The following is a 27167-nucleotide window of genomic DNA, read 5'->3' on the forward strand; positions in this document are numbered from 1 at the left end:
TTATCACAATGTGTCTCTGTGCTGAAAACAAGATTTCAAAGGCATGAACCACTCAAGGTGGCACCTAGTGTGTATGTGATGATGGGTGGGAGTCAGGGTGATGGTGGCAAAAGCAGATGTCTCTCTCCAACCAAGCACTCTTTATACCGCACAGACCCTGATCTTCTGCTCCCTTCTACAGTCTTACTTAAACTTCACCCATCCATTTTTTCAAAGCAGACTTTACTCCTCTGAAATAGCATTGAAAAGGATTTTTAAAGTACTTCTTGTTAGAATGGTGAGAGCTCCTGAGAATGAAAATGGAAATTCTTGTTCATGAAGAAGTTTCTGTAGCCCTGAAGTGAATTCATATGCATACTTGCTGGTTCTGACTTACATTGTTTAAGTCATGGCTGATGCATCCAGAGACCATGAGGGAGAGAGAAAGGAGATGGGATAGAGGAAGTATAGTTGTTCAGAAATCAAAACAAAAACAAAAACAAAACCCTAAACCTAAACCAGCTGAGGTAAAGGTAAAAAATGTAGAAATACGGCCAACAGGCATCATCTGAAGAAAATTGCTTTGAAAAATTAGAAAGAAACCTTTATATACAAAACTTTTTCTGCACATATAATTTATCTTCCTCATTGTATCCTTATGACCCAAACTATTGAAGACAGCAAGGATCTTAAAAATCATTGACATTCTCCTCCATTCCAAAGATGAGGAGGTAGAAGCCCATGGAGATTAGGCAATTTGATCCAAAGAGATCCTACTATGACAGAGCTAAGCTCATAGCTGACTCTTCTGGCTTTGAGCAGTATTCCCTTAAGGGTATAACACAGCTTCTAACACACCATGCTACACATGCAAAATATGTCTTTTCTATAGTTTGCTTAGCAGTATTTGAATTATGAACATATTTCTTTGCAATAAAAGAAAATTTGGCAACACTTGGAGCATTTGCCAAGGCTCATTATATGTTCTAATGAGCTCCTTCAAATGTTCTAACATTCAGGCTTCTCTCCTGCCAAAGATTGATGTCCAGCTTTGGTGATTTGCTTCCTTCTGTTGGAGCATGCAAGAGAGGCTCTAAGTAAAAAGGACATTTAGGTCTTTCATGGCTAATAAGCATATTGGGCCCCCACCTCAGATTGTCCATAATTGTCTTCCTCCTTCTATTTGAGAATCCAGTGAAACGTATTCCAACTGTCTTGTGAAAGCCAAAATGTAGTTATACTTGATTATCATGGATCTTATTTCATGATCATAGGAACTAATCTAAATTACAAATGTTTTATGATAACTTTAGGAAGATTTTACTATAAGGAATATCAATTCAACTTTCTCCTTAATATGATGCCTTTGAGTAAACAAGCACAGAGTGAAAACACATGAAGAGAGAAAAGGAGCAAAATCCTTAGGGTAATTCATGAAGAAGAGGGATTCTTGGTTTCCATAACAATTCTATAACTAGATCACAGGACTATTGTTTTCACATATGCATGAAGTTTGTGTAATTGGGAAAAGCCAAACATCAACCCAAATAATTTGACTGGTTTGAATGCTACATTGCTGTGTCTCAAAAGTCTATTTTAATATTACCTCTATTTATCCTGGGTTTCTAGACTAATACTTCACACTTACAGAGAAATTACATTTTCTCATTTTATCTTTATTTTTATTGTAAAATGTTTTATTGGAAAAGACACTTAAACATTTTATGCACATTTATGATTTACTTCATATTCAACCTAAGGAATTTCCATAAACCTGACATCTTCTACTATTATAATATCTCATATTTTATGTGTTTATTCTACAAGCTCTTCTTTATCTAATAAAAAATGTGTTTGCATGTCTGGCGAGACCTTTTTTCAGGCTTATTTTATATACAGGTACTACAAAGTGTTTGCCATATTATTGAATTTTTACACCAAAAATTGCTATTACTTATTCTTCCGTTTTACCGTTTTCTTTTAATAAGATCACGTAAACTCTCTTGTCCACCCCTTCTCCTAACACACATGCATACTTCTAAGCTCTCAAGTTCATAGACTGGATGGCTTAGGAGGCACCTTACGTGACTTTGCTAAATGAGTGAATGAATGGATAAATGAATGAATAAGCCATGCAGAATCTCCTAATTTTCAAATTCTTCTCTTGGGTAAATGCTGATTCTCCTAGCATCAAATATTAAATTGGTCATAATTAAAATTTCATCATGTAAAATTGTCATAATTAATGATTATTTTCTTGCTCACCTTAAGTTTATAAAATTATTTTTAGAATCTTTATTGTCAAGTATATTAATTTTAGCACAGACTGTAGTGAGTATAGATATGTTTTGGCATTTTTGCATCACATTTTCCTATTTATCTTTTCAAAATTCTCAGTCCAGATTACCATTTATGATGCTTTCTTTTCCATAAGTGGTCCAAACACATTTGCTGAAACTTTTTACCTTTCCATCCCACAATAATTCCACTGCAAAAAAGTAAATTTAAAGCTGTTCCAACAACTGATTTTTGACGTTGGAGATGAAACACAAGGATGTTAAATTATGAGGAATTATGCATTGATAGTTCATAGTCTACCTTCTTCCGGGTGAGTGTGTGAGCTTTCTTCTTAGTATGTCTTATTATTTACCAGGTCCAAAAATAATACTACTCACCACAAATGGGAACACAGAGGTTTTTTGGCAGGAGCCTGACATCACTAAAGCACAAAGAAAATGAGAATGGAATCCGTGAATTGTTTTTCCTTTTTCCTAAACCATGTGCCTCCTTACTCACTGTCTTTTTACTGGTCCTCTCTAGCCTTAATTCTTTCTTTGCATATGTCTATTTTTCAAAGTCTACATCATGGATTCTTACTCATTCACCTACACTTTTAAACTTCACTACTGTTTATCAAATAGGTAGAGAAGAAAAGAAAGGCCAAAATGAGGAAATAGTATGAAGATGTGAAGATGGAAAAAAATATCATTGTGCTTGATGAAAGGATGATACTCACTTTGTCTGCAGTAAAGAGTGTGTAAAAAAGACCTGTGTGCATCTGGTTAGAAGGAAGATTAGGTGAATGAGTTTAGATTTGACCCTGTAGGTTGTGGGGGAGGCGTTTAAAGGTTTGTGAGGGGAGCAGGGACATTATTAGATTTGAGCTTCAGGATCATTAATCAGGGTAGCATTTATCAGTTAGAATAGTCAAGAAAATTAATCTGTTAGATTAATCTGATAATGGTGTGTCATGTTGATTGAAGGGGGAAGACCAGGGTCAGAGAGACCGAGGGAGACTGCCAAGGGAGAGAATAGAGAGACAAAATGGAGGACAGGCACAGACAGCTTATCCCGGTTAAGCTGTCTGTCTCCAGTTACCTCGTCTGTCTCCCAGAGACCTCTGGTTTTCTTGAGACATATTAAAACTTTTATACAACTCAACAGTGAAGCTGTGTATCCTAAGAGCACTTTCCCATGCCAATAATTAGCATCCACTGCTGCACGTTTGAACTGAAAGAATTGTAAAACCTTTTGTTACTCTATTTATTGGTGAACATTAGCAGACCACCTGTTCCTCCAACTGAAACAGTTGCGTAAAGAATTTTTCCATCATCCACACGATTTGTCACCATTGTGATGAGTTCATACAAGATTCCAAAAAAAGTCTCATACTTGCCTTAGATACCTTTAAGTACAGCTTTGTTTATGTTCTCACCTTCAGATGCTGTATATCAACTACACTCATTTTTCTTTGATTTTTGTTATATGATTCTGTCTCTCACTATTACAATTTTTCTCACTATACTGTTTGAATTCTTCTGTAAGCAGGTCTCTGTTCTGTTCTTTTGGGTCTTTGACTTTGCCTCTTCCTGAAAGATCTTTTGTTACTGTCACTTTTTAAACATTTTCACACTATATAAAATGGGTTTGAAAATATTTTAGAAATTTGAGAGGAGGAATGGATATTTGCTCCTTGTTTATGTCTAGATTGCATCCGTTTCTTTTTTTTTTTTTTTTTTTTTTTTTGAGACGGAATCTCACTCTGTCTCTCAGGCTGGAGTGCAGTCGTGCAATCTCGGCTCATTGCAACCTCCACCTCCCGGGTTCAAGTGATTCTCCTGCCTCAGCCTCTCGAGTAGCTGGGATTACAGGTGCATGTCACCATGGTGGGCTAATTTATATATATGTGTGTATATATATATATATATATATATATATATATATATATATATATATATTTTTTTTTTAGAAGAGACAGGGTTTTACTGTGTTAGCCAGGATGGTCTCGATCTCCTGACCTCATGATCCGCCTGCCTCAGCCTCCCAAAGTGCTGAGATTACAGGTGTAAGCCACCACACCTGGCCCCATTTCTTAATCTTATAAAAATAATTTGTTTATCCTTATAAATCTGAAAAAGTCTCCCAGATTTTGAAAAATATATGTGTTATTATAAAAACATATGAAAGGAAGACTTTGTCTCCTTCACAGCCCACAAACTCTATCCTTTCTTACCCTCATTCCCTACCAAGCCTATGGCTCATTTTCCTCCTTTTGTTAAGATGTGCCATGCTCTTAGCTTACAGAGCTTCGTAAGTACTCTTCAGTTATTCTTCTTATAAATTGATTTGAAACACTTGGCTTCAAAGATTATTTTTGGTCACCTCGACTATTCCCTTTCTTAAGATGCAGCTGAAATCCCCTCTCAACACCACTCATCTCAGATGTTAGAAAAGATCATCATCCTTGGTTTTTCCTTTCCCATTTCTCTTGTGGAGTATACCCTTTCATAAATCTGATCTTTTACCTTTCTCAATTTATATCAATTCCATAATCACAAATATTTCTTCACTCCCTGATCCCACAGACACTACAAACAACTTAACTTCATGTTAAACATCTCTGTATCTCATTTTCTGTTGACTTCTGTGAAGAGCCCTTGACAAATAATACATTTCCCTGTCTGATTCCGTTTGTTTATAGTATCTCAACGGAATAAAATGTTCCAATCTTACAGACCTCTGGGTGCTTTGATTTTTGCAATAAATATTACTTACTATAGATGAATCCCAACACTATTTCACTAAATTTTTCTAATAGATATTAATAACCTTGCTTAACTACTGGGTGTTTTTGGTATGCAAAGAGTTACTCAGAGGAAAGAGAGTGAGTAGGACTGAAACCACCTTACAGAGTTGGAATTAGTGGGTGAAAGAGGGTAAGGAGTTTACTCAAGCACACTCTGCCGGCAATGTCGGAGCTGCATTAAATCCATCAGCACCCACCTTGAGAGTGGGAGGCTACAGTGGGCTTAGCAGGAAGCATATCTGGGTGAACAAGGACTTCCTCAAAGATGAGTTAATTTCAGGCCACCTAAAAACTCTGATGTAATAATAGAATCAAAGACACCAAGCAGATCACAAGGTCAGGAGTTCAAGACCAGCCTGGCCAACATGGTGAAACCCCATCTCTACTAAAAATACAAAAATAAGCCGGGCATGGTGGCGGGCACCTGTAATCCCAGCTACTAGGGAGGCTGAGGCAGGAGAATCATTTGAACCCAAGAGGCAGAAGTTGCAGTGAGCCAAGATCATGCCATTACACTCCAGCCTGGGCGACAGGGTGAGAATCCATCAAAAAAAAAAAAAAAAAAAAAAAAAGACCCCAAGATTGTACTATTCCTAAAATTTTTGAAGTCAAGGAGAAACTAGTGTCCTTGTAGATTAGATTCATTTCCCATGAAATGTGGGGTTTAGGCCCAGCTCCATCATATCTGCATATCTTGGCACGTATATTTTTAAAAATATAATCACACTCTTACCCTTTTAAATTGCAAAAATGTCGCCTCTGACTACCTGCCATTAATAGTAAGTAACATTCATTACAGAAGCACATCTTTTCAAACCCCAACACTGCCTCCTTTACATTCTATAATATGAAAGTTAAATAACCTAAATAATAACCCTGCAATTACTATTGAAAAAAATACCAGCTATGCTAAAATGAAACTGGATATTTTTCACTTGTTGTTGTTATAGAATATATGTGTAGAATACAAAAATAATAATTTGCACTCATCCAACTTCTTTCACTTTAGTGTCTCAAATCCCGGAGTGTAAGTGGTCTCATTAAGTTTACCAAACCAATTTAACTCTAACATGCTCTTGAACCCTCTCTCCAAGTCCACTGAGGCTTTTCTGTCACGAATGCTGAACAATATCATCTGAAATTCTGAGCATTCTGTAGATATGTTTGACCTTCTGCAGATAAAACTCACTTAATCGTTAAGTTATATATTAAAATAGACAAAACTACCTAAATAAAAAAGAAAAATATGACTGTTGTGTATTTCCCTACACCTACACACATCCACAAACACTCACATGTACAAAATAATTTATCTATAACTGGATTTATTAGAATGAGGAAAGCTTTGGCTATAAGAACAGCTAGAAAAACAAGAAGAAATATGCTTTATCTGGATCTATGGAAACAAAGTCCATTGGTTTCTAACCTCCATTTATTTAGGCAACAAGTGCTACTCAAATATTTATTTATTTATTTCTGTTCTGCACTTCATGTTAGAAAATGCTCACTTTTTTTTTTTTTTTTTTTTTTTGGAGGCAGGGTCTCACTTTGTTTCCCAGGTTGGTCTTGAAATCCTGGGATCAAGTGATCCTCCCACCTTGGCCTCCCAAAGTGCTGGGATTAATGGTGTGAGCCACCACACCTGGCCACTTCTTCAGATATTTATTGAGGACCCATTACATTATAGGAACTATGGAGGATACAAAGATAAGTTATTCATAGGAAGTATACAAATACTGAACTAATTCCAGCACAAGTGGAGTATGGTTAAGTTCCATGAAGATGAGGGCAGTGTAGATATCATTTAGCTCTGTATCTCCAGTGCCTGATATTGTGAATAGCAAATAGTAGGTTGGCAGGATGTGTTTCATGGATATGGAATGAAAGAATAATGCCCTCAAATAATGTAGAAGTTCAAAGGAAGGAGGGACTACTTCTGCCTGGTGTTACTCAGAAAAGCTTTCTAGATGATGAAGTATTTGATCTGAGTCTAAGGGATGATGGGATGGGTTCTAACAGAGAGAATTCACATATCAGGCAGAGGCCATCACACTGTCACAAAGATAGAGGGAAGAAAGTGTGAGACAGCCTTTAGGAATAGCAAATCATTCAGTTTGGCAGTTCGGCATAGGAAATCAATAAGGTGGGGGTAGTGCACAGATAAGACTGAAAAATTAGATTGAGTCCAGACTGATGAAATCCAGAAATGCCAAGTTAGGGAGTCCAGATTTTATTCTTGAAGAAAACTCTGACTATTTGTGTTCAGATGCCTATACAACAGCTTAGCCACTTGCCAAGGAGTCATCAGCCTTGATCCTGCTTCTGAAGATATCAGAGGGAGTCATCAGAAGCACGTCCTAATTATATTACCAGCTACTCTCCAAGAAGCTACTCTAAGAGAAAACCTGCAAAGTGCAGCAGTCCCAGAAAAGAAGATGAAGATTAAAGAAGAAGGAGGATATTTAGAAATGATTAATGTTGGTCAGTTTCATCAGTTCGAAGTCTGTTATCAGATACCTGTTATATTTACTATGGCACTTTGAACACAAGTTACTTTAATTCTAGTCTTTGCAGACTTAATGCACAAATCTTAAAAGGCAAAAAAAGTTCCAAGAGAAAATATGCCTTTTAAGAGACCTCTAAATATGTTATAAAATGTAGCTTCTGTCTAAGAAGAGACTGATTCTTTGAGGAAAATGGTAGAGAGTAGGCTCCCTGGATACACAGAATTGTCCCATTCATTCACTGAAAACACACATGACCAGAGGAGCTGTAGGTAAAGTTATAAAACATGCCTTGAGCAATTTACAAGGAAATTGAAAAAAAAGTACCACTCTTAAGTACTAGAAGATTTATAATATTTGACTTTAGCTTCTTGACTATTTCCATTTTTTAGTTAAGAAAGTTAAGATTAAAAGGTTTAAATAACTTATCCAAGCCCAAAAAAAAAGTAGCACAGCCAGAATCCATCCAAATTTGTTTGACTCCAGAGAGCATACTCTTTCTCACGTATCACATAATAGCCTTAGAGTCTGCCCTCGTATATGGAAAACACTCTAATGTAGTAGCTAAAAGCAGGAGCTCTAGCTAAAAGCAAGACCTAGGTTATAGGTCTTGGCTCTACCTCCTGTTAGCTGTCTGACTTTGCACCTGTTACCAACTTTTTGTGCCTCCATTTTCTCAACTGTAAAATGAGGGGAAATAATATTTCTTTTTTTTTTTTTTTTTTTTTTTTTTTTTTTTGAGGACGAGTCTTGCTCAGTCGCCCAGGCTGGAGGGCAGTGGCGCGATCTCGGCTCACTGCAAGCTCCACCTCCTGGGTTCACGCCATTCTTCCGCCTCAGCCTCCCGAGTAGCTGGAACTACAGGTGCCCGCCACCACGCCCGGCTAATTTTTTTGTATTTTTAGTAGAGACGGGGTTTCACCTTGTTAGCCAGGATGGTCTCGATCTCCTGACCTCATGATCCTCCCGCCTCGGCCTCCCAAAAGTGCTGGGATTACAGGCATGAGCCACCGTGCCTGGCCAAAAATAATATTTCTTAAGGTAATATTTCATAATGTAAGTCCTTACCTTATAGAGTTGATGTGAGATTTAAATGAGATAATACATATAAAATGCTTAGGAAAATGGCAGGCCCAAATAAAATGCTCATTAAAATTAGCTATTATTTTTCAGTGAAATTTCATTATAATTGCAATAATTTAGACAGTTCACTTCACATTTTCTTGATCTCAGTCAACACACGAAGTCTTCCTTCAATCAAAAAGAAATCCCTGGAAAAATTTTATGCAGTCATTAATTTGTACACAAAGGAATATATGAAATGTTAATATGGGTAAAAGTCACAAGAGTTTGGTTGCTTTTTGGAAAGACAACTCTTGCTCTGGTAACTTTTCTGAAACTGATAAATTTCACTGATTAGCACTTTTGCTATCTGTTTCTTTCCCGACAGTACAAAACCCCAGATAAGATGACACATTTCCGTAGTCTGCAAACTTACCCATGAATGTAGGAGATCCATATCTGAGCAGGAAGACTTGAGACGTGTGTGGCGAATACAAGAGGAGCAGTGGTCCCAGGGTCCAACTTGTGCTATTTGGAAATCAAGACATGTCCAGAGAGGGTTTTCAGGAAAAGGCTTCCAGTGATGCCACATGTAAGCTTCACCTTCATACCAAGCTAATTTATCTTCCAAGTTGCAGTTATTTAAAGTGCTGGATCTACCCAGTGATGCAGAAAGAGTATCCAATCTAATCTCCATTTCTTCCTTCCTCCTCGTGCTAACACTATTCACTTTCTTTTCTCGGGACTTGGTTAATTTCAAACAAGAAATCAACGTGTCATCTTCATCTTCTGAATGACAAAGAAATAGGTTAAAAACTATGATTATAATTCTTCACATATAGGAATTATTCTTCCATTTATATAAGAGAAATAAATACACTGCAATGGATAAACCAAGAAGTCATTCAATTTTATAAAATTATTTACAGCAGCATTTATTTAAAAAGCAAGTTATTTTGCTATATAAAATTTTTTGTTTTGTAAAAGTCGCATTTTTCTGACATTTTTGAAACCATAACAATTGATTAAATTCTATCTCACTGGAAAGAATGGAGGCCACATACAAATAATATGCTGAAAGATATTTGAGAAAAAAATACAATTAAAAAACCCACCTCTTATGTTTCTATTCTTAAATATTTTTTTAATTTTTAAGGTCATGTGTATAATAAAGAATTATAAGGAAATAAATAAAATTATTTGCCCTACTTAAAAGAATAAAATCTCAGTGGTTTGGACTGAAATCCTACTGACATTCTGAAATTGTCTATTTTAATATCAATCTACCAAGAGATGTATGGATGCAGTGTGTCTCACAGTGAAATGGTTTTCAAAAAACAAGAACGACAAAAATTTAAAAAAGCCATATCTGTAATACCATAAAGTTCATTTGTGAGATCTATATTTACACAATGTGGCAAAGACTCTGATGAAATTTCTAGTAATGTAGAAAACAGTTACAGAAAATAGAAATATATATCACCCAGAGTCAATTGCTCTATGTCATGGAATCCCTTTAAATCCAAACGTTTAATGGGTATTTTTAAAAGAGTTCGATTACTTAAGGCATGCTATTATAAATAAATAAATGAAAATCAAAGTTGCATGCCATGGACATACCAATTTGTTATGCTTACATCAAAATTCAAATACATTGTTTTCTATGGCCAAGGAATGGCGACAGTGGACACTGCTGAGCTTCCTCCATTGCTCTCTCTCACTGTGTCTCGGAGCCCGGTCTTGAAGGCAAGGAGAAACGGGGCGGTGCATAAATACGGGGTAAAATTCAGGAACAGATGGGGATGTCTGTTTTAAAATAACTTGGCAATAAAAAAAAATCCTCAATGTTTAATGATTATCTTAAGACTTTATCAAAATGGGCTTCATTAACGTATGCTTCCTTAGTTCTCCCTCAAAGGAGTTTTAACAGCTTATTGAGTTCTTACTTACGGAGGTTTATTAATGTCGGTTTCACCTCATCCAGATTCTGCACTCTGGCTTTCTTAGTCCAAACCAGTTTCTGTAGTCGCTTTAATGTCCCCATTGATTCCACAGGGTCACTGCCTGATTTTATGGCCTAGCACAAACACAGCTCAAGGTAAAGACAAATTATTCCTCACAAAAGATTAAATATAAAATATGTTGAGATCATAAATGTGGAAAAATTAATAATGTGACCTTAAAACCTGAAGCCTGAGTCAATTTAAGCACTAACTTGAAAGCACACCATACTTTTTGGGTTCAAAATTATAAAATATGTTACAACTGGCCAGGCATACTAAAGCAGAGTGGTTTTACCATTTTTTTTTTTTACTTCAAAATACAGCAAAATGGATTGAATTCAGAAATATCTATAAATGACTCACTCCTGCCCACTGTGAAACAGCGGAAAAAAACAAGATCTTTGCAGTGTAATATAGATGGAACAAGAGGTTCAAAGTTGCTATTTGCTAGTATTGGAATAGACTGATAGTATACAAAGTCTACCTGCTAATATTAGATAAAGCAGAATTTAAATAGTCTTCATTTTCTTTTTGGAAATTTGTGGACAAACAACATTTGTTTCAAGTATGAAAATTTTTCAAATAACATACTTTTAAAAAAATAGCCTCTTGCTTTCTAGAAGATATGCACTAAGTGAAACAAAAGATAGCCACAGCATACCACATCATGTTTTAGAATATGTGTCACTTGTTTATTATGACAAAATATGGACAAAATATAATTAACATTGCATTAATGACTCTTGTTTTCTTTAAAAGATTCAGGAATGTTTCCCACTAGTTTACTGTTGAATTTGTATTTATACAGCTTTTACTTATTATCTTAAGTATAGTTCCTCTTAAGGATTTCAAAATACTTTGGAAATTAACTCTTTGTGTGCTAAGTTTTATAGGAATTGATAAAAATCATTGTGTTCTGTTGAATTCACTAGATGTGATGTAATACATATAGGAATACTTTTTCATCCAGAAAGTTCTAGACTCAGAAATATTTCTCCACCTGCTTTTGTCTCATTCTTTCCATTGAACAGCTGATAAATAGCATCTACAAAGACACTGCAGTTTTCAAGAGGTGAATATTTGCTTCCTCATTAATGTTTGAATGAGACATATTTATAATAATGCTTTCCAATCCTTTTAAGGAGACTATAAGCCCAAATAAATGTTTGGAAGTAAAGGATATCTGACATGCAACATTTCCAATCTTTATACTCAGCTGTTATCTTTGTTCTTTAAGAATGACTTTGCACAACCAGTATAAACTTGTTGATCTGTCTCTGCAAAATAGCACTTACGTAGGAAATGTGACGTTTTTGTCAGAGGAACCCTACCTTTTTGCATTAAATAAGTGGGAAAATATTGAAATCATTTTAATCTTTCAGAAAGGACTGTGATGAGATATGCTTAGAAGCACAAAATCTTCCCTCTCTTTCCAAAGGCCATGCTCTGCTCAACACAATTTCTATTGCTGTTTATTTTTTTGTATTATTTCTCAGTGTTTCTTTTAGTGCTTTCTGAGTTACTTGATTTTATAGACCCTTTACAACTCAGGAAAGGCCATTTTCTACTCTTTAGACCCTTTCAGAAATAATAAGATGACATTGCACAACCATTTTTTCTTTGTTGTGCTTCTATTCTTATGGCAACTTCTTGTTACAGCCAAAGCTTAATTGCTCCACTGAAACACTGGCAACAAAAATCGTCTTCTCTTCTCCCTTTGTGAAAAAGGCTTTCACTTAATGTGGAGAAAGGTATTATATACCAGGGAAATGGAACTTTGTATAAATGATTTTCCCCCAAGAGGAACTAAAGCATTTGGAAGGTATCTGAATTCAGGTAAGTAAGATCTCATGTCCTAGAGGTTTTAAAACAAACTGACCTTTCATTATTTTGTTCACATTCTATTGTAGCCTTTTTAAAGCATGATATTGTTAATTTTTGTATCTTTATTCACTTTGAGTTACTGGACATCAGTCTACTGCATTTTATTTATTTTTAAAAATCCTATGTGCCTAGGATTGTACATGGCTTAATAAATATGTACTGAATGTAAATACAATCCTAATTTTATACATGTTTTATATACAAAATGGAGTATCCATAGTACATGTTTGATACTAGACTCATTACTTTCTAGTAGCAAATTATTTCTGGACAACCTCCTCTTGTTAATAGGTACTATATATCCAAGGGATGAAATTTAGAGTTAATATTATTATAAAAGGTATAGAATCATTACAACTATGTATTAAAAAGAAAATGTATTCAGATTAAAAATACAGCCAGGTGCAGCAGCTCATGCCTGTAATCCCAGCACTTTGGGAGGCTGAGGTGGGCGGATCATGAGGTCAGGAGATGGAGACCATCCTGGCCAACATGGTGAAACCCTGTTTCTACTAAAAATACAAAAATCAGCTGGGTGTGGTGGCATGCACCTGTGATCCCAGCTACTTGGGAGGCTGAGGCAGGAGAATTGCTTGAACCCGGGAGGCAGAGATTGCAGTGAGCCGAGATCGCACCACTGAACTCCAGCCTGGGTGACAGAACGAGACTCCATCTCAAAAAAAAAAAAAAAAGAAAAAGAAAAAAAAAGAAAAATCCTCAAATATTTTTCAAATAATAACCCTATTTATCTCAATTCTCTTATCCATTACCTACATATTTGTACTGAATGTGATTGATTAAGTTTTATAGTAACATACCTTTTAAATTTTAAATGTGTTCTAAGAAGATTAACCCATAAATTAAACCTAGCATTCAACAAATCAATAAACTTTTATTTGAGCACCTAGTAAATGCCAAGCACTATCTCACATTCTGGGGATATGGCATAGAGGAAGTAATATGAGATCACAGTTTTTATCAAGTCTAATTCTAGAGGGAGGTGACAGGCGATAAACATATAAACAAGTATATAAACATAAGAATGTGACATAAGAAATGCTGTATTAATAATTAACAGGGTGATTAGTGAGGATGCAAAAAGAGGGTTTATTAATATACTGATCAGGAGGAGCTTCACTGAAGATACTAAAGCTGAGGCCTGAATGATGAGAAGGAACCAGATATGTGAAGATTTAGAGAGGGTTTAGAATTCAGCAGATGGTCAGAAAGAATATTTCACCTGAGACTTGCATTGGAGAAAAAGTCAGCCAGGCAAGTAGCAGAGAGAAGAGAAGTCTTGGAACACAATACAGTTTGCAAAGGTTCTAAAGCTGGAATTTCTGGAAGAATGCTTAGTATGTGCCCATGAAGGGAAAGAAAGGAAGAGTACCAAGAGATGAGCCCAGAGAATAACAGAGATCCTTCCAGGAAGCTTCTGTAGAGCAGGTTGAAGAATATGGAATATCTAATCAGAGGGTGATACAACTTGGTTTACAGTTTTGTTCTTCTCTCTCTACTGAATTTTGATTTTCCATTTCAATGGACTCTTCCCAATAGCATTCAAATGTGCTTCATGTTATTCATCTTTACTTCACCATCTTTTATTTACCACTTTTTCTATTCTTCTTTGATCCTAGGCATTTGTATCAAAAATGTGAACTATGTATGCTTCCTTTAATTCTATTAACTTCTCATCCTTTTAATCTATCTCATCTATCAGCTTTCATCTCTACCATTCCCTTTTAATTGTCATTTTGATCTAATGAGCCATTCTTAAACTCCTTTACTATTTGATATTCAGCAATGTTGACCACAGTGACCTTCTGGAAACACTCTCTTTTCTTGGCTTCTGTGACACCATGTTCCTCTGATTTTCCTTTTGCCTTTTTTGGCCCTTCCCTCTATAACTCCTATATGCTGACACCTTCCTTTTCTTGAAATTAAATTTTGAAATTACTTAAGGATTAACCCTGGCCTTTTATCTGATATCACCACCATTCTCTTCTCATGTGCATGCATGCACACATACCACTTTTAATATCACTTATATGCTAATGACTCCCAATTTATTTCTTTCCCCAGGCCTCTCTGCAGAGCTTCAGACTCACATATCCAACTATGTATTTAAAACAATTTTTTTGTTGTTTTATCCATCACCTTATTTATTTATTTATTTATTTTTTAAATTTTTTTTATTACACTTTAAGTTTTAGGGTACATGTGCACATTGTGCAGGTTAGTTACATATGTATACATGTGCCATGCTGGTGCGCTGCATTAGGTATATCTCCCAATGCTATCCCTCCCCCCTCCCCCCACCCCGCAACAGTCCCCAGAGTGTGATATTCCCCTTCCTGTGTCCATGTGATCTCATTGTTCAATTCCCACCTATGAGTGAGAATATGCGGTGTTTGGTTTTTTGTTCTTGCGATAGTTTACTGAGAATGATGATTTCCAATTTCATCCATGTCCCTACAAAGGACATGAACTCATCATTTTTTATGGCTGCATAGTATTCCATGGTGTATATGTGCCATATTTTCTTAATCCAGTCTATCATTGTTGGACATTTGGGTTGGTTCCAAGTCTTTGCTATTGTGAATAATGCCGCAATAAACATACGTGTGCATGTGTCTTTATAGCAGCATGATTTATAGTCCTTTGGGTATATACCCAGTAATGGGATGGCTGGGTCAAATGGTATTTCTAGTTCTAGATCCCTGAGGAATCGGCACACTGACTTCCACAATGGTTGAACTAGTTTACAGTCCCACCAACAGTGTAAAAGTGTTCCTATTTCTCCACATCCTCTCCAGCACCTGTTGTTTCCTGACTTTTTAATGATCGCCATTCTAACTGGTGTGAGATGGTATCTCATTGTGGTTTTGATTTGCATTTCTCTGATGGCCAGTGATGATGAGCATTTTTTCATGTGTTTTTTGGCTGCATAAATGTCTTCTTTTGAGAAGTATCTGTTCATGTCCTTTGCCCACTAAGCACAGTCAGAACTGACCTCTAGAACTATGCTCCAAATATGATGCTCATCCCATCTTCTTCAACTCAGTGAAGGCCATCTTCATCCACCCAAGTGCACATTCCATAACTAAGAGTTTCATCTATTCTATCTTCAAAATGTATCTTGAATGTCCATAACTAAGAGTTTCGTCTATTCTATCTCCAAAATGTATCTTGAATGTTTCTTTTTCTCCATCTCTATTGTTACCAATCTAGTTTAATTTTCTTTCATTGAAACTACTGTCAAGTCTCTAATTGGTTTTCTTTTCACTTTTGTCTTTGTAATTTAGAGTCTTCTTTGAAAGATATAAATTTCCATCAAAATGGTAATTATATGTTAATGTAAATGTAATTTTTCATATGTATATATTTAACATGTATATACTATGTATTTCATATATTTGTGTCTATAAACAGAAATATCTTTTAGTTCATTTTGCTCACTCTTCCTTAAGTAATACAAAAATTTTGTTAGAAGTGCTTGGTTAAATATATCTCATTTTCAGACACTTTGCTTGAATATTAATATTAGAGAATACTTTTTAGAAGATAGCATCAATGAATTATTGAACTGGATTAGTCCTACGATCATATTTTATGAGCTAGGATGGAAATTATTAGACATCTAGTCTACCAGGCTATATAAAAAATGAGAAAACTCAGAGAAGTTAAGTGGCTTACTCAAGGAAAGATAATTTATTAATAATAGAGTTGGGATGGAAATCAAGTATTCTGACTTTTAATCCAATGTTCTTTCTTACAAGATCTTTAAATGCCAGCATAATTACTAGTTATCTAGTATTGACAGCCAAATTAAGACCAACCAAATTCAGGGAATTTATTTGGAGGTTAAATATGGCTTTCCAAAACAGAGGATAAGTATCAGGTACTTTCAGATTTATAGGCCTATCCTCTTAAATATACATAATTAAGAAGGAAATATATAAATATATGTGTGTGTACGTATGTATATACCTACATATATTTGCTGGAAAGGCATTTAAAGCTTTTAAATCTCTCTTGATTTTATCACTTCCTTTTAAAGAAGGAAAATTTAGGCTTATGGAGACTAACAAAATCCAGATTGCGTTATCTGTCTGAATTATGTTCTCTTTACTCCACTAATGAAAAGATAGCTGAATAACACGTCAGACTTGAATGAAGTAAAAAACAAAACAAAACAAAGCAGAAAACCCTTTGTTTTTGCTCTTCTTCTTAATTTCTGATTTGGAAAAATTTTCCTCTCTAGTGTCATATTTAACAAATATTCAAATAACAAATCCTAATAACCTGATGTCTATCTCACATAATTTCTTCAACAGGAGAAATGGAGTTTTTCAAAAATTAATATTTTGGTTTATTTTTAAAGAAAACTGTAATGGAAACCGAAACTTCAAGTAGTTTCATATGTATCACATTGACAGTTTTCTCTAAGTTTTCCGGTCTTATGACTCGTTGTTTCATTATTAAAACTGTGCCAGTGTATGCATAGGGCTTAGAAATTTTTTAATGCTCCCATGTATTAAGTGAAAAACCAGAATGTAAATTTGTATAAAAAGTACAAACACCATTATATGTGGCCTTTTTCTATCTTTATATATTCTACTCTTCTTAGTTTTCTACAGTGAAGATGTGTTAGTTTTGTAATTAGCATAATTGGGAGAATTTTTTTTTCTTTTAAGACACAGGGTCTTGGTCTTGCTCTGTCCACCAAGCTGGAGGCTGGCGTGCATTTGCATGATAAGAACTTACTGTAGCTTTGAACTCCTGAGCTCAGGAGGTCCTCCCATCTTAGCCTCCCAAAGCCCTGGGACTACAGGCACGCACCATCATGCCCGGTAATTTATTTTATTTTATTTTTTGTAGAGATGAAGTCTCACTATGTTGCCCAGGCTTGTCTTGAACTCCTGGCTTTAACCAATCCTCCTGCTTCAGCCTCCCAAAGTGCTGGAATTACAGGCGTGAGCCATCACATGTGGGAAGAAATTCTATAAACAACTACAAAATGTATTTAGAAGGCAGATTTCAATAATCCAATCTATCCTTGCTAAGGACAGAAGTATTCAATTTTTTCTACTGGTAATTTGTTCTTAGCCACTTGAATGGGAAGGTGCTTAGAGACAGGAAGAAGAGAGCTACTTTCATGGTAAAACAAAATAAAGAAGAGGTTTTAAATGTTGAATTATTAAACCCCTAAATCTATATCTTCATTTCCTCCTATATAAAAGTGACTAGTCTCTATTCATGACCTAAAACATATTCTAAAAAGATAATTTTTAAGGTCACAATGATCAATAAACATTTAGAAACTCAATGGACAGTAATAAAACCAATGGGATTATGAACTAGAATTGATCAATGCAAACACATGAAAACAAATACATTTCACTTCAGAGGTTTATTTTATTGCTTTCTTGGAAATACAATTAATTAAAAAGACAATTTAAGATAATTTATGCAAATGAAATATTGATTGAAGAAATAATTACAGTTGGTGGGAAAATTGCCATGTTGACATTAGATATTCGTATATCATTATAATTTTAAAAATTATTATTTTTCAGTGATAGAAACTGAACTTAAACTAAGATTGGAAAAACACAATAAAGCTAGGCAAAATTTTAAGTCATCAAATAAATGAGTAATTGAATGAATTAGTTAATAAAATCAAATATATTCTCCTGGAAGGCTTATAAGACATTTATTTATTCATTTATCAGATGAGGACCTAATTTATTACTGAGGACCTAATCTACGGGAGGTGCAAAGAAGAATGAAATATTGTGTCTGCCTGTGATGCACATTGCTTAATATGAATACTAAGAAAAATAGTCATCTGTTTCTGTTCCTGTCCCCCTCACTGCAAGGTGATTTCTTTGGGGTTCTAGTACTGTTTTACACATATCACTTCCTAGAGTCAGTATGGTCAATAAATACATTCAATCTCAACAGCAGGCCAAAAATACATCTGGAGGAAAAAGTAGATGTGTCATATGAGAACTACAAATAAAATTCAATGATTATTCACAGGAGAAAGATTGCATAAGGTGAGAGTAGGGAGAAGAAATGTGCTTGGCTAGAGGATTAGCAGGTATTTAAGAAGCTAAGCAGTATAATTTAGGTTATCTAACAAAGCCATTTATGTAATAGTCTTATTCCACTGTAAAAACACTAAAACCCTTTCAAGTCCTAACATGATATTCTAGCTCCTCCTTCCTCTCAAGCAGATTTTGATGTGCATAATTCTGGTTTTGGAATAACATGCCCTCTGAGAACACAGTAAAAAAAGAAAGGAGTCTTTCAGAAGCCACACAGGCCCAATTTTCCATAGTATAATGAAGTCGCAATGTCACTGCCATTTCTCCACTTCTGCAGGGGAAGCCAAGACTGCTTTTTGCTCACTGACCTATAGCTTTGGGTCAGTCTTTGAATGTGGACACACTGCCAAGCTAGCTGGGAGTTGCCAGGATTACACAAACCAGCATTGCAAATGGGGGTTGTGTTGATTTAAGAGAAAAGGCCACAGAAGCCACATCTTTCTTACTTCCTGCGTAATATCCTCTGCTCTGAAATTTTGAAGAAGTTTCTAGAACTACTCATAAGAACATTTCTGTTTCTGGGTACACCTCCTAGCTGACCAAAAATTATGAACAATAGGAAATTTAAGAGCCAGTATGCAAATTAATTAATTTTTATTAAGTATCTATTGGATTCTTAGCAAGAAGAGGAGCTATGAATGGAAAATTACACAGTAAAAAAACATTTTTATCTAATATTTATTTCATATACACAAGAAATGTTAAGAAAACCTAGAGTAAGAACCTGCCCTTGTGTGCCGACTAATGATTGTTCTGCTTTGAAAATCTGCTTTGTGACTGGCCATGTGAACTTGAGTGAGCCACTTCTCCTCTCTGCACTTCAGCCCTTCATCTTTAAATTGAAGGATTGGATCACAGGAATTCATTGTTCCTCAAATATCCTTGGGGACATTTGACTACATAAGTATCTTCTTTTGTTACTTTACATAAATTCTTGAGCCTTAGAAAAATATCAAGGAAAAAGTGAGAATGACCTACTGTTAATCACAGATTATCAGAGTCTAAAGAAATATTCTCTACTCCAACATTTTACTTCAAAAATGTGGAAACGGAAATGCAGAAATACGAATTAAGTGGCCTAAGAGCACAGTCCGTGGTAGAGCCAAGTCCTGCAATCTAGTTCTCTTGCTTCTGTTTCTAATTAAGGAATTTCATAATCCTCCCAAATGTATAGCTTTATTTTCATCTGAAAGTCCTGTTAGTATTTACTGAGGTTCATTTGTTTGTTTCCCACAGCTTTTTGATATTTAACTAGTCATTAAAAACTCAGATAGCATGAGAAATAGCAAGGGCAGATCTCAATAATTTTCTTTTAGGGAACAGAAGTAATATTTAAATCATAACTTTCCATCACCTCTTCCTCCTACCTAGCACAACTTAGACATCTCTTAGACAAAAAAATACATATAGTTGAAAAGAAAACTATTATAAAAACTTAGATGTTAATAACATGTTAATAATATTGGGGAAGAGAGAGCTATAAATAAAGATATCAAAACTTTTGTATTCATACCTACATAAAGAAACATGATTTACTAAGAGTAGTTATTTCTCACAAAATTACAGTTACATTTTGGGAAGCAATGGTCAAATAAGTTGCAAACATTAGCTTGTAGTGTTCTGAAGCCATCTAGAACAAGAACTACAAATAGGACTTATAGTTGTTTCATATCAATAATGCTATAATACTTGTTGATGTATGTGAATATCCTGGAAATTTGCCTGACCTTCTAAAACATGTCCTTTCCATGAACTTCTGTTTAGCAATATCTCAACAAGGAAAGGAAGGCAGTTGATGTGATTTTAATATCATAAGGGAGAGCTGGCACACAGAGATACTTTTTAAAAAATGGTTTTACTATATTTCATTCTATGGACTATAATCCAATTAATTACTTGATTTCCTTTTATGGCATACTCATGCTGTTTCCAAGTTCTCTTTTTTAGCAATGCTATAATGATGTACACTTCTCCCAGAAACATGGGATAACACCTATTTCCCCCAAAATCAGACGACATGCTTTTTAACATTATAAATTTTTTCCTATCTCAGGAAAAATTGCTAAATTTTAGGGAAAATTTTTTATATAACAACCTTTCCTTCTTTGAAGGAAATGCTTTATGTTCCTTTTAGTTCAGAAAACCACTCAGTAAGGACAAGCCTCTATTTATGTTCTTTAGAAACACTTCCATGTGGCAGCTGAAAACAGAAGTAATAAAGAACTATAGAAAACAGTGCTTGTGGCATTAAAATGAGTGGAAAAGAGATGGGAAATCCACTTAAATAGTTACATCTGGGAAGAAATGTCTCACCAGTTCATCAACAGTGGTCTCAACATGTCTTTGATAGTGAAATGGACTCCAACATTCAGAGGTCACCTTAGAAATTAGAAAAGGAAATAGAGACAACTAATGTTAACATTCTTTAAAAAACAAAACAAAAAAACTCCACAAAGCTACCAAACTAATTGGGAAAGGATTCGCTGTCTTAATTAGAAATAATTATCTTGTTATCAAAGTACACTGATTAATGTTTCATCAGTGACTTCATCTGCATATATACACATATATAGACAAATATGGAATATGTGTATGTATACATAGTATATACACATTATATATCCATATATGTGTGTGTGATATGTGTATGTGTCTATGTGTATTAGATTCACTCCTCAGCCCTCACATAGAGCAATTCCAATCCATGATCTCACATTTAGAAGGGTTGGTGGAAAGGGGGGATCCCGAATGTTTTATGAAGCAGCCCACTCTAATCCCTTAGTGCTCTACATTATTAGGTACACAATGGACATCCATTTTAGATACTCTAATTGAGTTTAAACTCAAGCCAAATACACATTTGGATTAATATCTCAAGTCATAGTGTGGGATGTCTTTTATTACATTTGGTACCTGTCAGTGTAACCTTCTAACTGTCAGCTTCTACTCCTTTTGAAAACTTTATGTACCTGATATCAAACAATTTCTACCTAGGGCACTTCAGGACTGCAGCAAAGGGCATTTGATGGAGTCTATAACAGGTAATAAAATGGTGCTGTGGTCTGAATATTTGTGTTGCCCCCAAATTAATATGTTGGAATGTAATACACAATATGATAGTGTATTAGTCCATTTTCACATTGCTGTGAAGAAATACCTAAGACTGGGTAATTTACAAAGAAAAGAAGTGCAATTTGCACACAGTTCTACAGGCTGTACAAGAAACATAGTGGCTTCTGCTGTAGGGGAGGCCTCAGGAAGCCTCCAGTCATGGTGGAAGGCAAAGGGGGAGCAGGTTTTCTTACATTTCAGGAGCAAGAGCAAAAGAATGAAGGCGGAGGGGCTACACACTTGTAAACAACCAGATCTCATGAGAACTCACTTACTGTCATGAGAACAGCTCCAATGGGTTAATGCTAAACCATTCATGAGAAATCCAATCCCATGATCTAATCACCTCCTACCAGGCCCCACCTACAACACCAGGAACCACAGTTCAACAGGAGATTTGGGCAGGAACACTTACACAAATTATATCAGATTGTATTAAGAGGTGGGGCTTTTGCGGAAGTAACTAAGTCATGAGGGCCCTCATGAATGGAATTAGAGCCCTTATAAAAGTGGTTGAGGGGAGCTGCCTTGCTCCCTTTTTGAAGCAGACACTGAATCTGCTGGTGCCTTGTCTTGGACTTCTCAGCCTCTAGAGCTGTGGGAAATATGTTTCTGTTTTTACAAATTACCCAGCCTAAGGTACTTTGCTATAGCTGCCTGAAAGAACTAAGACAAAGGTGATTTCAAATTTTATTCTGAGGAGAGTCTGCAATGAGATTAAGAGGAATTTAGAGACAGGGAAATATGAATATTCATTAAACATCTTGAGGGAGTATGCTCCTTTATTTAAATATTTATGACAATCGCAAGAAGTTTTATTGTCACTATTTTACACATAAGGAAATTGAAGCACAGAGAGTTTAAGCAACAAGTTTAAAGTCCAGTGTTTTTACTCATATAAATGTAAGGCAAGTTTGGTTTCCATAAAGTCTAAACCCCAGCAGAATTCTGGAGTTCTAGCACACAAAATATAGCCAAAGAGCAAGAGGTTTGAAGCAGAAAACTGACAAAGTAGCTGAAGTGACTGCAACAAGTACTAAGTGGTTGGATTTTATTTTTGACACAGTATATAAGAGTGCATTTACTAGCCATTTTCTGGGCTGCGAAATTCCTTTTTAAAAATGCATGAGAATGATGCTAAGGAATACCAAATAAGTCCTCTCAATCTTTTAGGGAAATCAAAAAGTAAAACACCCATACATTTATGGAGTTCATTCATAAAAATTATTTGTTAGAATCAAGTATTTCCTCTTTTTTAAATAAAAGCTAAATGTAGAGTTGCTTAAACTCTCTTCTTTAAACGTGAAAGTACACATCATTAATGCAGTATAACTTCGGATAAGGAAATGAGAGAATCCAATATGATCTTAATTTTATTTCACCGGAAACAAGAGATTTGCATTCCATTTTAATAACCTGTTTCTTTAATACCAACAAAAGCCACTCTTGAAAGTCTTCTACTATTAAAGAGGAGATTAGATTTTTTTTCAAGATAACGAAATATAGCCCTATATTCTTTCTACCTGCAAAATAAGTTATAATCCTGCTCTTTGGAAGTAGAAAACTTCTCTGTCTATAACCTCAAAATACTATTAGGTAGTTCTAGTGGTTTTAAAATACACTCACAAATTCTTTTACACTGAAGAGGTCTTCAGAAGGTGGAACCTAAGACTGCCCCTCACCCTTAGTGTGAGCTGGATTTAGTGAGTTGCTTCTAACAAATAGAATAAAATGGAAGTGATGATGTTTAACTTCTGAAATTAGATCTTAAAAGGAATTGTGGCCTCTTCTTGTTCTGTGTCTTAGATACTCACTCTGGGGAAACCAGATGACATTCTGCGAAGACACTCAGCCTCATGGATAGACCAAAGTGGCAAGGGACCTATCCCTGCAGTCAATTCCCATAAAAAAACTGAGGTCACCTACCTATAGCCATGAGAGGGAGTTAGAAACAAACCTTTCAGCCCCAGTCAAGCCTTCAGATAACACCTTGAGCGACACTAACCACCTGAGATTATAACCACATGAGAGACTCTAAGCTAGAAATGCCCAGCTATACCACTCCCCAACTCCTGACCCACAGGGACTGTGAAATAATTTTTTTTGTTTGTTTTAAGCCCCTAAATTTTAAAGTAATTTGTTATGCGTCAATAGATTTGTAATACAATAGTTAAAAGTCATATAATGGATAAGAAAGTACTTGAAATAAGAAACATTGATCAATACACAATATCATTATTTTGTCATAATATAATCATGTCATACATAAAGACTATCATTTGGTTGACACTGTCATTTTGGACTCTTTTTGTTTGTTTGTTTTCCCCCTTTTAGATTGTTCACACTTTTGTTTAGAACTCCCTCAAATCTGTCTGATAAAACCTAGTGAAAGACCTGTCTCTCCTGCTTGTTAATATATCACAGCATAACCTTAAATTATTTCTCCAGTGACCCAGCGTTGTGACCTCAGTTAAGCTCATGAAAAATTGGTCCCATTTTGTCCATTCTACACGCATCTCCCAAAAATTGTGTGCTATGTTGGATACAGTTTTAATTCTGTACATAGCCAATGGGATGTGTATGGCCAATATTTTATTTGTTAGTAATCCAATTTTCATCTTAAGGACTAAATGACTAACTCTAAATGCTGGTTACACTACATGAGAACTGAAGGAGGCTAGTTTAGTTTGTGCAATAAGAGGTGAGTCTAGACACTGTTTAACTGTGGACACAGTTTTGTCTGATTGCTTACATAGAGCAGAGTTTAGCATTAGCAAAAGTGATTGTTTTAAAAATAAGGTATCAGAAATGTATTCGGCTTTGAGGAAGAGAATAACCAACAGTGGTGGCTTAAACAAGTATGGGGCTTATGTTTCTGTAAAATAGAAGTGCAGACATAGGGTTTCCAACCCGGGTGCCGCTTCTCAAGGATGTCCTCAGTGAATCAGGCTCTATGCATGTGCCTGTTCCACCATCCTTCATGTGTGCCTTTGCCTCACGGCTGGAAGACAGCTGCTGACTTACCAGGTATTACATCCAGCTCCAGGCAGGAAAGAGAGCAAAAAACAAAGCTTTATCCTCATGAGACTCTGCCTTATTTTTTTTATTTTCCAGAAAAGAAAGTCCTCCTCTGGAATTTCTGACTATATTTCATTGGCCACAACTGGATTCCATGGCCACCCCTAACTACTGGGGAGGCTGAGAATTCAAATGCTGAAAATTGCAATCTCCATAGTGAAAGACACGAAGAAAGAAATTGATTGAAATGGGTTAATTAATTCAATTAGCAACACTTTTTCTCAGCAAAGGAGCTGAGAAAGAAAATGTTTTGGTTCAGTCCTGGGTAGGGGTGCTTGACAGTGCTTAATATCACCAGCACTGAAGGTAATAAATATTATCTCTCTTTTCTATCATGAATATGAATGATACTCTGAAGGCTGAATGCAACCTCAGAATTTAAGTGAGAAATGAGGCATGCAACACTTTTGAAAATATATTAGCCCAAAGTCTGTATTACTGCATATTTTATTCCCCTTTTAATATGCTACAAAAGGTTTGAGCCATCAGCTGAATGCTGCCAGAGAAGAACAAACAAGAACAAGAATGCAAAAATAAATGCTGGGAGTCAAGTTTTCCCAAGATGTTCTTTATAGTTGGTGTATGATCACATTTCTAAGCAGACTGCTTTGCTTCAAGCTCTACCCATCAGCACTTCTTCCACAAGCCTGGTTCTCCAGGAAGTTTATCCCGGGCTAACTATGCAGAAATATACGTGGGGCAAAGTGGGTACTGGAGAAAGCATTCCATGAACTCCTTCTTTTGCCCTGCTACCTGATTCTGTGTAACTTCTTCCATGCCTGAGATCTTCTCTTCCATTTTGAGAACATGAAGGAAACATGTTTGCTTAAGTACGTTCTGGTTGGGAATTAAATATTTAATTCTGATCATTTTTAGTGTCTGAAATATATTTCGTAAGCATGGTCATATGATAATTATAACTATAAAATGTTTTACATTCTACAAACTTTATCCCATGTTACTAATATTCAGGAAATGATCATAGGAAAATATTTGCACTAGGATACTATTCATTATTTTAACTCTTTCTATTTATACATAGTTTTAAGAAATTCTACAATGAATTTATATCATCTTCATAATAGGGAACAAAAATAAACTTCACTTTTTCCATGAGGCTGTTGTCTTCCAAGACCATACCTAAGCCAAGTTTGGGTTTATAAAGTCAAAATCATGAGATATCCCATCTGTGAACAAATACTCATGGCTATAATTTGGACGTTTGTTGTTTCCAAACTTCATGTTGAAATTTGACCCTCAATATTGGATGTGGGGTGATATGGTTTCATTGTGTCCTCACAAAAAATCTCATCTTGAATTGTAATCCCCATAATTCCCACGTGTCAAGGGCGGGATCAGATGGAGGTAACTGGATCATGGAGGCAGTTTCCCCCATGCTGCTGTCATAATAATGAGTGACTCTCATGAGATCTGATGGTTTTATAAGCATCTGGCATTGCCCTTGCTTGCACTCACTTCATCCTGCCACCCTGTGAAGAAGGTGCCTGCTTCTCCTTAGCCTTCTGCCATGGTTGTAAGTTTCCTGAGGCCTCCCCAGCAAGGCAAAACTGTGAGTCAATTAAACCTCTTTCCTTTATAAATTACTTAGCCTCGGGTATTTCTTCATAACATTGTGAGAGAGGACTAATACATGGGGCCTAATGGCAGGTGTTTGGGTTATGGGGCTGAATCCTTCTACAATAGGTTAATGTTCTCCCTCAGTGGTGAGTTCTCACTCTATTAGTTCCTGCGAGAGCCAGTTGTTTCAAAGAGCTAGGGGTGCACCTCTCCCTGCCTTGCTTCCTCTTTTGCCTTGGAATCTCTGGGTCCCCTTCACCTTCAGCCATGAGTGGAAGCAGCCTGAGACCTTCACCAAATGCAGATGCCCAATCTTGAACTTTCCAGCCATCATAATTGTGACCCAAATAAACCTTTTTCTTTATAAACTACCCGGTCTCAAGTATTTCTTTATTTTGTTTTTATTATTGTTTCTTTATTTTGTGTTGTATTATTGCAACACAAAATGGACTAAGACACTCACCAACTCTCTTGAATTCAAGAGTTTCATGGTTTGTGTACTGAATATTGTCACATAAAAATACCACTTCCTAGGCTCCAGTCATGACGATCCAGGTGAACAGGAGTATGGCACCAAAGTCTGCCTTTTTAAGTAATACTCCAGTTGAGGCTGATACAGACAGTTCTCAGATACACTTGGAAAAACACTTATCTGATAGTCATTTGTTCACTGATGGAAGGCCAAGTTTCATGCCATAGTCCACTCTTATGCACACTGACAAGCCACTTTGCTACTCACACCAGCTTCTCCATTTGACAGTGGCTGCCT

The 27167-nt window shown here is 35.7% G+C and overlaps 1 protein-coding gene and 1 long non-coding RNA gene across 7 annotated transcripts in view, besides 1 other annotated feature; one reads left to right on the plus strand and one right to left on the minus strand.

Annotated features, from left to right (window-relative positions):
- SAMSN1 (SAM domain, SH3 domain and nuclear localization signals 1) overlaps nucleotides 1-27167 on the minus strand; it is a 174190-nt gene that overhangs the window by 87841 nt on the left and 59182 nt on the right. For 2 of the 6 annotated variants that reach the window (NM_001395858.1, NM_001395857.1), the window contains 3 exons: nucleotides 20945-21010; nucleotides 10582-10708; nucleotides 9068-9420 (listed from right to left, as the gene is read on the minus strand). In NM_001395858.1, coding sequence (NP_001382787.1) covers nucleotides 9068-9420; nucleotides 10582-10708; nucleotides 20945-21010 — 546 coding nt within the window. Of the gene's footprint in view, nucleotides 1-8893; nucleotides 9421-10251; nucleotides 10335-10581; nucleotides 10709-17916; nucleotides 19572-20944; nucleotides 21011-27167 lie in introns of those variants that run through there. The other 4 variants (NM_001256579.3, NM_001395856.1, XM_047440941.1 and 1 more) reach the window with 3 other exon arrangements.
- Nucleotides 5120-5414: an enhancer, noted in NCBI's record as "tiled region #5316; HepG2 Activating non-DNase unmatched - State 24:Quies, and K562 Activating DNase matched - State 9:DNaseU". NCBI's record gives its function as "activates a minimal TATA promoter and a strong SV40 promoter by Sharpr-MPRA in HepG2 and K562 cells {active_cell/tissue: HepG2 | K562}" and the evidence as "EXISTENCE:reporter gene assay evidence [ECO:0000049][PMID:27701403]".
- SAMSN1-AS1 (SAMSN1 antisense RNA 1) lies at nucleotides 9134-25235 on the plus strand. Its single transcript, NR_046512.2, has 5 exons — nucleotides 9134-9223; nucleotides 12294-12470; nucleotides 18254-18400; nucleotides 21626-21672; nucleotides 24857-25235. It is a non-coding gene; the product is annotated as an SAMSN1 antisense RNA 1 (long non-coding RNA).

This window comes from Homo sapiens, chromosome 21 (assembly GCF_000001405.40).
Source record: "Homo sapiens chromosome 21, GRCh38.p14 Primary Assembly".
Lineage (NCBI taxonomy): Eukaryota > Metazoa > Chordata > Mammalia > Primates > Hominidae > Homo > Homo sapiens.